General features: G+C 31.4%; 1 protein-coding gene across 8 annotated transcripts in view; it reads left to right on the forward strand.

The window, feature by feature from the left end:
• The window catches only part of CNKSR2 (connector enhancer of kinase suppressor of Ras 2), a 280,272-nt gene that overhangs the window by 147,656 nt on the left and 117,340 nt on the right, over nt 1-15,276 (forward strand). For all 8 annotated transcript variants that reach the window (NM_014927.5, NM_001168647.3, NM_001330770.2 and 5 more), the window contains 2 exons: nt 4,794-4,927; nt 9,783-9,994. In NM_014927.5, the coding sequence (NP_055742.2) occupies nt 4,794-4,927; nt 9,783-9,994 (346 nt within the window). The remainder of the gene's footprint in view (nt 1-4,793; nt 4,928-9,782; nt 9,995-15,276) is intronic.

The following is a 15,276-nucleotide window of genomic DNA, read 5'->3' on the forward strand; positions in this document are numbered from 1 at the left end:
AATTCAGGATACATTTTCTCTGAAGCATTTGCTTAGATTATTAAGAGAGTCAATATAAAACAATGTTCTTGTACTAGTGTTGGGAATTAAAAATGTGTTTGAACTGAGTAAGGACTTATGTGAATGTTCTGTGCTAGAATGATGGGGTATTGTGATCCATTTGAGTCTGTGTTTATCCCCAAGAGTGAATAAAATAAATGGCCAGGTTTTATACTTGATGTAATTATTTGTATTTCAGTGGGTATTTCCCCCCTGGAAGGCAAAGCAAGTTCTGTGTGATCTTGGCATTAGTGAATTTTAGAGCTAACTACATAAATGTGTAATGCACTGTTTTAATCTTTAACGCTGGAGTTGTCTTTATGTCATTGGTTTCATTCAAGCTGTATCAAAGCTGGGTCACGTACTAGAAAGAGGGACAACTAAATTAAGATATGCTTGCCCAGAGATGTTAAAATGTAAAATGTTTTGGGGAAAACCTCAACATCAAATGTAGTTTCTTAAGTATAGAAGTTCTTTTCTCATGGTCTTTAAGACTATAGAGATTTCACAGATACACCAATACCTTCTATATGTGCTCAGTTACCTTAGAGATGTTAAAATTGGGGCGCACAAAGAAAAGACCTCAGCAATCAGAGGCTTTAAAGTGAGACCTCAACCATCAGAGGATTTAAAGCTTTAGCTTACAAAATTTTATTTTACAATCACAATCTTCCAATGATGTTTAAGCTGGATGAGTAAGATATTATTGCTAAAGTTATCACTCATAATTCAGTGGAAAGTTTGTGTCATACCCTATTTTGTGACACAATTTTAAAGTATTTATACATTCAAACTGACAGTATGAAAAATACAAGTTTTACCTAGAAGATTTCTAACACTAGCAAATTGACAGTAGTACGTTATCACCAATTGACCTAAGGTTATAAATGTATGTTTGAAGAGATACATATGATGATTTTATTTAGGATTTGGACATTTTAAGAGATGCATGCCAGTGCCCCCAGAAATCTATCATAGACTTGTTTTACAAGAGTCACAACATACATGTAAATGTGTCTTCCCTGTTGGAGCCTCATTGAATATGTGGAAGGAGAGCTTCATCTCAAAAGGACCATTGACATGAAAACTAAATGGTATGACAAGGTCCTTCCAGAAAACAAACCCCTTTGGATGGGATCAAAAGTGGATCCATGTCATACTTGATTACATACCACAGAAGATCAAGTTATGCTGAAGCTTCATGTTTACTTTAAATAACAAGATGTAATCCTAAAGCAGTCCCTTTGTATTGTATCCATTTTATCCATAAGTGTTGATAGTTCCTAATTTTCTTCCCATTCATGTTTTGTCAATACCGGAGAAGGTCAAAATGATAAAAGAATGTTACCCTTTAATTCTACCTTTTTTCTTAAATTGAAATTTCTTTGTAGTGCAACAGTAACTACTTTTCTTACACTGTATTATAAACAAATGATTATAAGTAAATGTTGCCAGGATAGGAGAAGCTATCTTTTTGTATTATATCCTCCTCATTCGATTTTTTTTCAATCTAAGGAATATGCCTATTAAAACCTCAATGCTGAAAGAATTCTGTGTTTCAAGTTGAGGGAAGCTAAATTTGTTACTTTCTGTGCATTTTCACAAACTTAAATGGCTATTGGTGATAGGTGTATTTTTAATGCCACTTGTTACAACTAGGAATTTCTCACTGATAATTTTAGCTAATTGCATCATTTATTCTGTACTTGATTTAGTCAAATTTTTCTTGTCTTTCTAATGTTCTTTAATGCCTTTTTCATTCATTTAGTCATTTGATTTTTTACTCTTTCAATTTTTGTCCAAAGTTAGAAAATTTTTAGAGATTATAATTTTAAATTATCACAAAGACCCCTTTGGGTTAAGTGGTTATTTTTATTTTCCCATGAAGGTTGTACTTTACTAAACTTTATTTTTCCATTGCTTAATGTCTAGTTTTTTTAATATGAGTCTCAAAAAGAACGTTTATTATTTAGCTTGGATTAGCTTGTTAAAAAGAGCACAGTTAGTAGAGAGAAATATGCTGAATATATCAAATATTTACAATGAGCTTTACTTGGTACAAGGCATACTGATGAGCCAGATGGTATTTCCATGATAAACCAGTTGAAATATTTTCTGTGACTTACCAGTCAATAAAATAACAAGCCAGATGAGTTAAGCAATAGGATTGACTAATTTCTTTTTTCTCTGAAGTAGTATTTTTTCCAACCAGTTCAATTAATTGAACCAGCTTGGCATAATCAAACTTGTTATGTATTTAAGCATATTTAAGAGTCTTTCCCCTCTATGTATGTGCTAATTTAACTAATAACATTAACTGATGACATTGATAGGAACTGTTTGCTAAAAATAGAAACCTAGAGAAATAGCAGTTTGAAGGAAATTGAGGGCTAATAATTACATTTCTTGGAAGGGAAAAGACACAAGTACCCTAGGTAGACAATTCTGGTAATAGTCCAGGCAGAATAAAATATTCCCTTGGTCATTACCTCACACTTCAGGTGTATGTATTTTAAAATATGCTTGTAACCATTGACTACTACTATTTCCTTCCCTCCTTTTTGTTTGGGGAGAAGAAGGGTAGGTACTAACCAGGAAAAATTATCTTTAGTTCTGTAGATGGTAAAAGTAAAGAAGAGAAGTCCTCAAAATAGAAATAGTGACTCCAGGCGAGAGGAAAGACAATAAAAATTTAAGTTTGATTATGTTTAAATGCTTATGTTTTTAGAACTTGATTTTAAGTTCATTTACAGTGTTAGGATATTTTAAAGTCAGAAAGCTATTAGAGCATTTAAAAAGCATACTGAATATTAGTTTTTCTCTCACAGTGTATCTGTTTCAAAGAATTGGAGAATAATATTCTGTTAAGTGAATGTTTTCTTTGCTACATTTCTATTATGGTGAACTTTTGGTCAGATTTATTGTTTAGCATCGTCTGTATTTAAAACCAAGATGTCCTGACAGAGAGGAAAACAGTTATAAACAGAGTCACATCACAGTGACTGTGTGTATGTATTGTTGAATCTGCCATTCAAGGATTTGTTGTAGAGGCATGAAATGCATCCTTAGAAATAAAATAGTTATTTATTTCCTTGGGATTTATGGTATTCATCAGTACAGGTGACTCCTATGATTACCTGTATAATCTCAGGATTTCCCATTGCCTCAAGTTTTGTTTCTAAAAGACAGGAATAGTTGAACTGGACCCTATTCCAAAATTAGCATAGTAAAACATAATCTTTACTGTGTAATTTTATAATAGCTTACAATTCTTCAATTAACATGTAAAACTTCTGACCTTTTTAAAAATATCGTATAAGGTGGAATATTGTAAACTCCCAAATTACATTATCATTCCTTTTCCCTTTCTCTCTCTCTTTCTTTAATTTCTACTTCACTACATTAGAATTTAACTGTCATTTTGGTAGGATGTATGATTTCAAGCTATTAAGGTGAGCTGTATAACAGGGAAGGTCAAAACCGTGAACTGAGTCCTAAATTATGTAGCCTACCCCAGTGACTTACATTGTACTTTCCATTGTATTTATGCTTGGCTTTTTAAGCGAATTTTGTTTATCTGTACAAAAGTATTGTCACAATACAAAATAGTTGTAATATGCCACTTTTTGAGTGTCTAGCAATGCATATTAAAACAATAGAACTGTGAGTCTATATAAATATGCTAAGAGAGTTTTCATACTGGCTAAAATGGCAACATCTTGTCATGTGAAGATACAGTTCATTTGTGATCATTATTTTTGTGTTTGTGATTGCATTAAAATTTTTATTTTTAATGTGTTAATTGTATACATAGCTAATCATTAAGATCTGTAAGATAAACATAAAACTTGTGAATTTTAGTTTCACTTCAGGATAATTTCACAAACCACTAGATTATTTTCAAATGCTGTGAAGCTTGGAATTGGGAGTGCTCTTAAGTTAATGCATCCTCATGTACTGTTTAATTCAGTATATATATTATCTTAACTTTAAGAAAACAACCTCCTATTTAATACTTAAATACAGGCCTGAAAATGAGATCTATATATGCAACTAAAGATTATTTTAAATGATAGATAAATGTGTGTGCCTATGAATGGTGAAATGATTGTGTTACATAATTACCATACTTTTGATGATGTACCATAAAATGGCTTTGAGAAGACAGCTATGCTTATTTTGACAGAAAAAATATGTCTTTCTAGCAAATACTCTCGTATTGGCCTTTCATACTCCCACTTTTGTAACCTTTTCTGAGCATCTGTAACATTTTACTAACCTAGAAATATGGTTTATCTTTTTTGGGAGAAGATCTGAAATAGCTTTCTCATACATCAATCAGGATGTGAGTGAGCTAATTCTTTTGAGTTACTCATCATTATTGTTCTTTTAAAGGTGGGATTCTGACAAAGTTAATTTAATTTAAATAAGTTTCTAACTGTGAGATAAATCTTCCCATTTTGAAACACTGCATGGTATTTTTGCTTTATAAATAGTATTTCAGTGTTTATGCCATAGATTAAGGTGAGTTGGGAGTGAAGTGGAAACCTTTACCATACTGTTTGTTTTTGGAGATTGAAAGGAATATCCATGTACTAAATAACATGTTTCTTGATTTCAGCCAAGTTCAAAAACTGCAGAAATAGATAATTTTAAAATGATAACTATGTGTCATTGTTGTTGTTGTTGTTGTTGTTGTTGTTGTTTTGTGTGTTGTTTGTGTGCGTATGTATTTTCTTTTTCATTTTAACCAGCCTCTTATACCTAGAAGTCCCACAAGCAGCGTTGCCACGCCTTCCAGCACCATCAGTACACCCACCAAAAGAGACAGTTCTGCCCTCCAGGATCTCTACATTCCCCCTCCTCCTGCAGAACCATATATTCCCAGGTATAAAACTATCACGTTGTCCTAGGCAGCTTCTAGCTAAAGGTAAACCTAACAGCATATAAACTGCAAAGTCAATTCTGAAGGAACACCTTGAATATTTTCTCACAGTTAGGAATTCTGAACACATTCTGCAAAATCATTCCCATTATAGAGCATGCATGTTTATTAATAATAATAATAACTAATTTGTATATAAATACTTGCTGTGCATTAAATAATTTATACTATCTCATAATAGGAAAGAAGAAGAAAGTAATATTAAATAATAATTAGGATTATTTTAATAAGTAAACAATAAGTGAGGCTGTTTGGCTAAAAAGCCCCAGAAAATTTCAGGTTACTTTGAAGCATTTCATACATTTTTTTTTTAAAAAAAGAGAAAGCTATAGATAACTTTTATGCTTTCTTAAATGTAAGTAATGAGGAAGATTTTATTTGGTAATGATGATGAGGGAGAATGTCTTTTTCCCCTAATAATCCTGTGTCTGAAATTTTTATTTCATTAATTCATTAATGTTTCTTTCAGGAAGTAGAGTTTACAAGGGAATGAATTACCCTTAAAGTCTATTTTCTAGATTTCTTGAGGCTGTATCTCTATTTCATTTATCGATTCTTATTTGAAAATCCTTGCAGATGTGGAAGAATACAGCTTTATGTCATAATGCATTCTTCCTAAAAGCATTCTGATATCCAGCCTTGTGAAATACAAAAATTATGGAAAAGGACTAGCACTAAATGGGGATCATTAATACCAATCACAAAAAAACTTGATTCAGTTTTTAAATTAGTTCTGCATTCAAAAACAATAATTTAAGGTCTCTTGTTTTCAAGCCATAAATAGTATTAAATTTCTTTCATATATAAAAGAACTAAATTCCTTGTGTTTAATTTCCATTATTCTTTAGTACACTTAGTGTTTCAGAAATCTGTATTCTATTAGATATGATGGTTTACTGACATTATGTGATCTAAATGCTGCATGGCAATATGGTTTATCTGCAAATACTGTGTTGTCATCTAGTAATATAACTATAGTTAGTTTTATATATATTTTAGTTCTTTGAGAATTAAATATAGCCATTGGAACATAACTTATAAGATATAGTTTACTAAGCTGGCATTTCATAAATCTAATATATAATTTACAGTCTTGTGTTCAATTTACAAGCAAATATACAAATCCATCCAATATCCTACTAAAATGCTAGTTGCATTTTAATTCTGTTAAGACAGTGTCAGATTTTCCACATATGCTTGCATGAGGAACAATGAAAGTATGTGTGTTCCAAACAGGAAGTGACTTTTTATGATTTGTTTACATTTTATTTGGAAAGATTTTTATTTCAGAGCAAATAATTATTTAAAAGGCCTTATTCTTCAGAGGGCTACATACACAGATAAACATTAAAAGATTATTTTTATCAAATCTCTGTAGTTTTAAAATGTTCTTTCCTCTTGGGTAGTGAGGAACTTGTTACAAAGAAAGTGTCTCCTCTACAGAAAATATTTAAAATACACTTAAGAGGACAAAAGAGTAAAATGATCCAGTTTTGTCTTCTGAGTGTGGTGGACATATTATAAAGGCTATATATTGAAGCCAATAAAAAGCTTGAAGATGCTATTTAAAAATATTAGAGAATGTGAAATTGAAATATCAACATAGTGACCCTTGTTTTGTCAGTATTGCTTGAAAACTCCATACTTTTCTGTAAAATTCATAGTGTTTACTATATCACTGCAACTGATTCTTAGTTGGTCAGTGTATAATTTAACAGAATATTCTAAATACATTTTGAGTCAAATTATTACTTACCCAGTCATAAAGTCTTTCGATATTGGAGTCAGGACAATCCATGCATCAAAGCCCCTTTGAACCACAGCCTTATATAAATGTCTGCATTTTCTGGCTTGATTTTAAGTTGACAGTCAAAACTTTTTGCAGTCGTGATTATTTTTACAGATACAGCCTTGGCACTTTTTTCCTATTTTCTTATTTTGAAGATGAATGTGATGGACTTAGTTTAATTCCTCTGAACATTTTTCCCCATATTAAAAAACTTTGTTTATACAGGATAGGCATTTTGGTGGTATGTGAACATATATGTTTGATTTGGATGGCAAATAATAAAACCTCTCTCATCTCAAAAAGAAAACAGACTTGAAAAATGATAGGACTAGTTTTCAAATTAGGCAGAATTTTTTTCATGTGGTTATGATTTTTTGAACACATTTAATCCAGAAAAAAAGTTATTGCAAAAGTGCCTTTTTCTCTAAAAGATAAAACACTCATGTATGTGAAGTGAGTGAAATTTGGTTGGCATTTTATTATATGTCTTGTGACTAAACACAGTTTCATTATCATTATATATAGTACATTTCTGTACTTAACCAAATTTCTTTTTCTATGATAAAAATGTAGAATTTATAGGTCTTTGAACAACTATGACATTTAAGTACTAATTTCTCCTATTAACTCTACTGTGTGCCATTAAATATAAAGTTAGTTCAGTAAAGCAATGCTCTTTTAATGCTTCCTTAAATCCTTTCTAGAGCAAAGGCACAGATTTATTACTTACGTGCATTAACTTACAATATTAAGAAAGGTGTAAAAACTCTTTACATCAGAATGAATTAACACACTGAGTTCTCCAGGGACTCATGACGTGAATATATACATTAACACACACACACACATACACATACACACATTTACATACACAATACATGTATCTACTCATTCTACTGAAAAGTTTGGTTTTGCTTGGTACTTTTCTTAATTCAACAGTATTTTACTGCATTCTATATAGATTTGTTTTAAAAATCTACCCTGTTGATATAAGGTCCCTCCTTCATATTATTATAGGAAATACCATCCCTTTCAATTTCCTGCCACAAGATGTTTCCATATAAATATAGTATGTGTATTAATAGGGCTGAATCACCCTCTGATTTCAGCTGCATTAACATTCATGTCACAAGCCTCATAGCTTGAGGTCTGGTACATTGACAGATACGCATAACCTTACTCCAGTGCCACAAATTCGTTAAGGCTGCTTCCAAGCTAGTTGCAGTCTCAATTTCTTTTTGATAGTGGACTAACCAGGCAATTTGTTCAGGAAAAGTTTTCAGCAAGCTGAAAGAAAATTCTGCCTGGATTTTATATTTATTTCCTTCATGTTGCCTAAGAACTATCTATATAGTTCTATTGTGGTAATAAGCAATACTTTTATTTTAGAAAATAAAAGAGTAAATTGTAATGTAAATGGCAACAACACCTTGTGATGGGTTAAACAGATAAGAAAACTCACTGATTGTCAGTCTGGAGAATGTTGTTTACTACTTTCTACATATTTCAAATACTGGGAATATAGTTTTCTACATTTGGACAAACCTAAACATTTACACACAGAAGCAGAAATACAGGCTTTTGCCAGACTGGGGCTCATATTTTAGAATTCACATTACTTTTATAAGCTCATCACCATTTTATAAGGTATAATAGGAATTAATTAAAAATTTGTTCTTTTTATCTGTCTTGTTATAATTTAGTTTATTCTATGAATTTAAGATTTTAGTCTCATCACTTAACATAAAATTAAATTGTTTTTCTGGTTTGACAGCATTTATTCATGGCACTGTTTAGGGTAACCAGAAACAATTAAGAACAAGGAAGAAATTTAACTAATGGTCCACAAGGGGGGAAACATTGCATTTACATTCATAGTCATGTTCTAGAAGACAAGCTTTTCTGACAAAAAGTTCATAGGTAAGCAGTGAAACATGTCATAAAATAAACAAGATTCAATTTAACAAATCACAAATGGACTATTTCTATCAAAATGGGCTTAATCTGGGCTTAATTACCTATTGCAGTGTGTGAGTAATAGGTTTTAGGGAGCCCATAAATTATTAGAGATGTTTTTCTCTAGAATCCTATAGAAGAAAAAAATCAACTTGCCATCACCCTAAATGCCATTCTTAAACTCTATATTTTATCAGATTACCTTCTCTCCTCAAGAAACATTGATGTATAATGAAATTTTGATATATCCATTTAGAATGAGTTCTAGGAATATGTCTTTTTACTCTTAAATGAGATACGTAGAGTTTGAATACTGAGAATAATTCTTTTAAGGTTTATTTTAAATTAATAACATGTTGTTTGAATTTCTTATAATACAAGTTTATATCATGCTAATTTGATTCCTAAGGCTGCAGTGCTCCTTATGGTAGTTCTTAAATATATTTCTATTTTTAAGCAGTGCAGATTTTTACCAAGAATCAATCAGGTAAACTGGCAGAAGAAAACATTATACTTAAGTTAACATTACTACCATTATACCTACTGTCTTGAACACTAAAAACAATTTATGTGCTAAGGTAAACTGGCAGAAGAAAGCATTATACTTAAGTTAACATTATTACCATTATACCTACTGTCTTAAACACTAAAAGCAATTTATGTGCAAAGGTAAACTGGCAGAAGAAAGCTATATACTTAAGTTAACATTACTAACATTATACCTACTCTCTTGAACACTAAAAGCAATTTATGTATGACATGGTACAGTGAAAAATGGACTTGGGCAACAGTTAAAAGTTTCATGGCCTATTTCAAATTCTGTCAGTTATTAGCTGTGTAACATTGAGGCAAGTTGTTTAGCCTTTCTGAGACTCACCATTTTGTTTTCAGCAAAATAAGAATAATTACAAATTGCCCTGTAAATCTCAAAGAAAGTTTGAAAAGGTCAGGAGATATATTGTATGGGAGTAAATTATTAGTATTTTAGACCCTCGGCCATTTACTACCCTAACATGTTTCTACATCTTCTCCTTTACTCTAACCTTTCTTTAGGGATGAAAAAGGAAACCTTCCTTGTGAAGACCTCAGAGGACATATGGTGGGCAAGCCAGTGCATAAGGGATCTGAATCACCAAATTCATTTCTGGATCAGGAATATCGAAAGAGATTTAATATTGTCGAAGAAGATACTGTCTTATATTGCTATGAATATGAAAAAGGAAGATCAAGTAGTCAAGGAAGACGAGAAAGCACCCCAACTTATGGTAAGAGTTCTTCTTTTATGTTTATATAAGACTATATTTCTGGCATAGGAATCTCAATTTCCTTTAATAAGTTTTTGGGTTGTGAGAGTTACTTAGGCGCTTTTGAATCTTTATAATTGATCTGTCTCTCTCATGTGCTTCTAAGTGGAATTTCTACAATATGAGACATTATATTAAAAATTATTCTAGATTTTCAAAAGATAAGAAAGAACAGTAGGTAACATTGTAGCTCATAATGATTTATAAAAATCTTTTTAGCATCACATGTATTTCTTGTGTGTTAGATGTTGCCAGTTTGGAAAAATTCAAGTGTTTTTTTATTCTTTTTTGTTTTTTTAAATGAATACTTACTGTTAACATGACTTATTTAAAATAAAATTATCTCCATATTCCTCAGGGATTTTAAGAAATATAATTTTCTCGAGAAATTCTCACCTCAGTTTTTGTATTTTTTAAAGAAGCTGTGAAATTTATTTGACATTAGAGTGGAAGTGGATTTTAAATAGAATGGATTGAACATACTGTATTTAAGGCAAAAATGGGCTTAGAGTTATGATGGGCACAGGATTGTTTTAATCTTTGATTCATGACCGAAAAAGTAACCCAGTCACAAATACTTAAAATTGTTATAGTATATCTGAAAGATTTGCAGATAAAGTTGCTTAAAGTAGTCAAGCTTGTGGTTCTTCTGCAAGAATAAATGGATTTAATTGAAAGTCTCTGCTCCTCCCTTTCCACTTTTCAAATTAATAATTTTTAGCGAGGAGCTTATACTTTGAGGAAGGACAGCATCCCTGCTAATTAGTTCAAACTTGATCAATGGGAGCTGAGCAGAAGCAAAGTTGTTTTTAGCTCCTCCATTCTATTCCTACACCTCACTTGTCTGTCATGGCCATATGCCTCCCTCCTTTGGTCTCAAAAGAGCAGTCATCACATATCTTCATATACATGTCTTATTTCCTTTCAGCTCTTTGGTAATAAGTATGAAAGAAAAATTTTCCCCAAAATGATGCTAAAGAATAGGAACCATACTTATCTTACCTTGTGTTATTCTCTGTACATGTGCTTTTTAATCATAAGAATAAATAATATATTTTAACATAAACTCCTCAACTACACTACTCTAGTGGCAATTAAACTGTTAAGTATTGAAGATATTTGAACCTTTACTTTTCTCCTCTACTATATTGTAAACCTACAATATAGAGTATAGAGGCCTGTAATCTTTGCTATCCCTACCCTTGCCCCATGAAATAATATGAAATTTTTTTTCTTATTCATTCATTCCACAAGTACTAATTGACTGCCTATTACCAAATAGGCAGTAATGTATGTCAACTCTTCTTTCTTTGTGTCCCAGTATTATCTGGCTATTTTCTACTTGTGTTGAAGTAGATAATTAATGTTTAATTTAAGAGAAATTATAGTCACCAAATGAAAGTGATTGATTACTGATGACTTTATTTTAAAAAATGTTTACTAAGTTCTTACTCGAATGGCTATAAATTGGTAGTCCCTTCGGACTACATTTTAAAGCCCCTAATGCCATCATGTGCCACAAATCTCCCCCGACTAGAATAGAATACTTTTTAAATATTAGAAAATTTAGATAGCCTATAAATACTTGACATCTTTTTGTAACCAACTTAGGAGAAAAGAAATATGTACATACTTAAAAGAGAGAAGTAAGCAGAGTTATTTGTTTCATTCAGTATGGCTTTTAACTTTCTAAAATTGACACATAATAATTGTACATATTTATGGGATACAGAGTGATATTTTGATACATATATAGAATGGGTAATGATCAAATCAGGGTAATTAGCATATTCTTCACCTTAAACATTTATCACTTCTTTGTTCTGGGAACATTCGAAATCTTCTCTTCCAGCTGTTAGAAATTATATAATAAATTATTGTTACCTATAGCCATCCTATAGCACCGTAGAATACCAGAACTTAACTTCTCTCATGTAGCTGTAATTTATATCCATTAACCAATCTCTTCAAAATCCCTCTCCCACTCACCCCTCCCATTCTCAGCCTCCAGTAACCACAGTTCTACTCTCTATGAGCTCAAAGTTTTTAGTTCCCACTCGTGAATGCAAACATGCAGTATTTATCTTTCTGGGCCTGATGTATTTTACTTAACATAATGTCTTCCAGGTTCATTCATGTTGCAGCAAATGATAAGATTTCATTCTTTTTTAGAGCTGAGTAATATTCTGATATATATATATATCACATTTTCTTTATCCATTAATCTGTTGATAAACACATAGGTTAATTTTAATATCTTAGCTATTGTGAATAATGCTGCAATACACATGGGAGTACAGATATCTCTTTGACATACTGATTTCCTTTCCTTTGGACCTATACCCAGTAATGTGAATGCTGAATCGTATGGTAGTCCTGTTTTTAGTTTTTTAAAGACTCTCCATACTAATTACTATAATGACGGTACCAATTTACATTCTCATCAATATTGTATAAGAGCTCCCTTTTCTCTGAATCATTGCCAGCATTTCTTATTTTTTGTCTTTTTGTTAATAACCATTCTAATTGGGGTGAGATGATATCTCTTTGTGGTTTTAATTTGCATTTCCCTAATGATAAACGACGTTAAGCATTTTTATATAGCAGTTGGTCATTTGTGTGTCTGCTTTCACGCAATGTCTATTCAGATCATTTGCCCATTTTTAAATAAAAATATTTCTTTTATTGCTGTTGAGTTGTTTGAGTTCCTTGCATATTCTGGATATTAGTTCCCTGTCAGATGAATTGTTTCCTTTGCTCTACATAAGACTTTTAGTTTGATATAATCCCGTTTGTCTGTTTTTTTTCTTTTGTTGCATGTAAACCTTAGCCATAAAAATATTTGCCTAGACCAATGTCCTGAAGTATTTCCCCTGTGTATTCTTCTAGTAGTTTTATAATTTGGGGTCTTATATTTAAGCGTTTAATCCATTTTGAGTTGATTGTGTACATGGTGAGAGATAGGGTTCTAGTTTCATTTTTCTGAATATGGATATCCAGTTTTCCCAGCCCTATTTATTGAAGAGGCTATCCTTTGCCCAATGTATGTTCTTGTTGCCTTTGTCAAAAATCACCCGGCTGTAAATACGGACTTATTTCTGAATACTCCATTCTGTTTGATTGGGCTGTGTGTCTGTTTTTATACCAGTGCAATGCTGATTTGGTTATTACAGCTTTGTAGTGTAATTTGAAGTCAGTCAGTGTGATGCCTTCAGCTTTGTTCTTTTTGTTCACAAATGCTTTGGCTATTTGGGGTATTTTATGGTTCCATACAAATTTTGGATTTTTTTTCTATTTCTGTAAAGCATGTCATTGGTATTTTGACAGGGATTCCATTGAATCTGTAGATTGCTTTGGGTAGTATAGTCATTTTGACAATGTTAATTCTTCTAATCCATGAAAATGTGATGTCTTTCCATTTTTTGTGTTCTCTTCAGTTTCTTTCATCAGTGTTTTGTAGTTTTCATTGTAGAGATCTTTCACTTCCTTGGTTAACTTTATTTCTAAGTATTTTTTGTAGCTATTATAAAGGGGATTGCATTCTTGATTTTTTTTCAGATAGTTTGTTATTGGCATATAGAAACACTACTGATTTTTGTATGTTGATTTTGTATACTGCAACTTTATTGAAGTTCTTAATCAGTTCTAAGAGTTTTATTGTGGAGTCTTTAGGTTTTTCTATATATAAGAACATATTGTCTGCAAACAGGAACAATTTGACTTTCTCTTTTCCAATTTGAATGCCCTTTATTTCTTTATCTTATCTAATTTCTCTGGTTAGCATTTCCAGTACTATGTTAAATAGGAGTTGTGAAAGTGCTCATCCTTGTCTTGTTCCAGTTTTTAGAGAAAAAGCTTTCCACTTTTCTCCATTCAATATAATGTTAGCTGTGGGATTGTCATATCTGGCCTTTATTGTGTTGAGGTGCATTGCTTTCTAATTTGTTGAGAGTTTTTATCATGAAGGGATGTTGAATGTTATTAAGTGGCTTTTTTGTGTATCTATTGAAATGTTTATATGGTTTTTGTCCTTTATTCTGTTGAGGTATCACATTTATTGATTTGCATATGTTGAACCATCCTTGCATCTCTGGGTTAAATCTCATTTGATAATGGTATACAATCTTTTTTATGTATTGTTAGATTTTATTTTCTAGTGTTTTGTTGAGGATTTTTGCATCCATATTCATGAGGGATATTGGTCTGTAGTTTTCTTTTTTAGTTTTCTTCTTGTTGGATTTTAGTAGTAGGCTACTGCTGGCCTCATAGAATGAGTTTGGAAGAATTTCCTCCTCTACTATTTTTTCGGATAGTTTGAGAATACTTGGTATAAGTTATTCTTTAAAAGTTTGGTAGAATTCAGCAATGAAGCCAGCAATGAAGTCATCTGGTCCTGGGCTTTTCTGTGTTGGGATCATTTTTATTACTGATTCAATCTCATTACTAGATAGTGATCTGTTCAGTTTTTTTATTTCTCCTTGATTCAATCTTGATACATTATATGAGTCCAGGAATTTATCATTTTCTCTAGGTTTTCTAATTTGTTGGCTTGTAGTTGTTCAGAATAGTCTCTTATATTCCTTTGTATTATTGTGGTATCAGTGGCAAAGTTTCCTTTTTATGTCTGACTTTATTTGGGTAATCTCTGTTCTTAGTCTGGCTAATAATTTATTTTGTTTACCCTTCAAAAAATCAACTTTTCGTTTTGTTGGTCTTCTGTAGGTTTTTTTTTTTTTTGTCTCTTTCATTTAGTTCTGCTCTGATCTTTATTATTTCTTTTCTTCCACTAATTTTGAGTTTGATTTATTTTTGCTTTTCTGATTTCTTTTTTTCCTAATTTTTTGAAGTGCAATGTTGGAGTGTTTATTTGAAATCTTTCTGCTTTTTTGATGTAGGCATTTCTTGCTATAAACTTCTTTCTTAGTATTGCTTTTGCTGTATCCCATAGGTTTTTGTATATTGTATTTCTGTTTTAATTTGCTTAAATTTTTTAATTTCCTTTTTAATTTCTTCATTGACCCATTCGTTGTTCAGAAGCATATTGTTTAACTTCCATATAATCGTACAGTTTTTAAAGTTTCTCTTACTATTGATTTCTAGTTTTATTTCATTATGATCTGAAAAGATACTTGATAGAATTTCAATTTTTAAAATTTGTTGAAACTTGTGGCCTAACGTATGGTCTATCCTGGAGAATGTTATTTGTACTGATGAGAAGAATGTATACTCTGCAGCTGTTGAAT

This window comes from Homo sapiens, chromosome X, assembly GCF_000001405.40.
Source record: "Homo sapiens chromosome X, GRCh38.p14 Primary Assembly".
Lineage (NCBI taxonomy): Eukaryota > Metazoa > Chordata > Mammalia > Primates > Hominidae > Homo > Homo sapiens.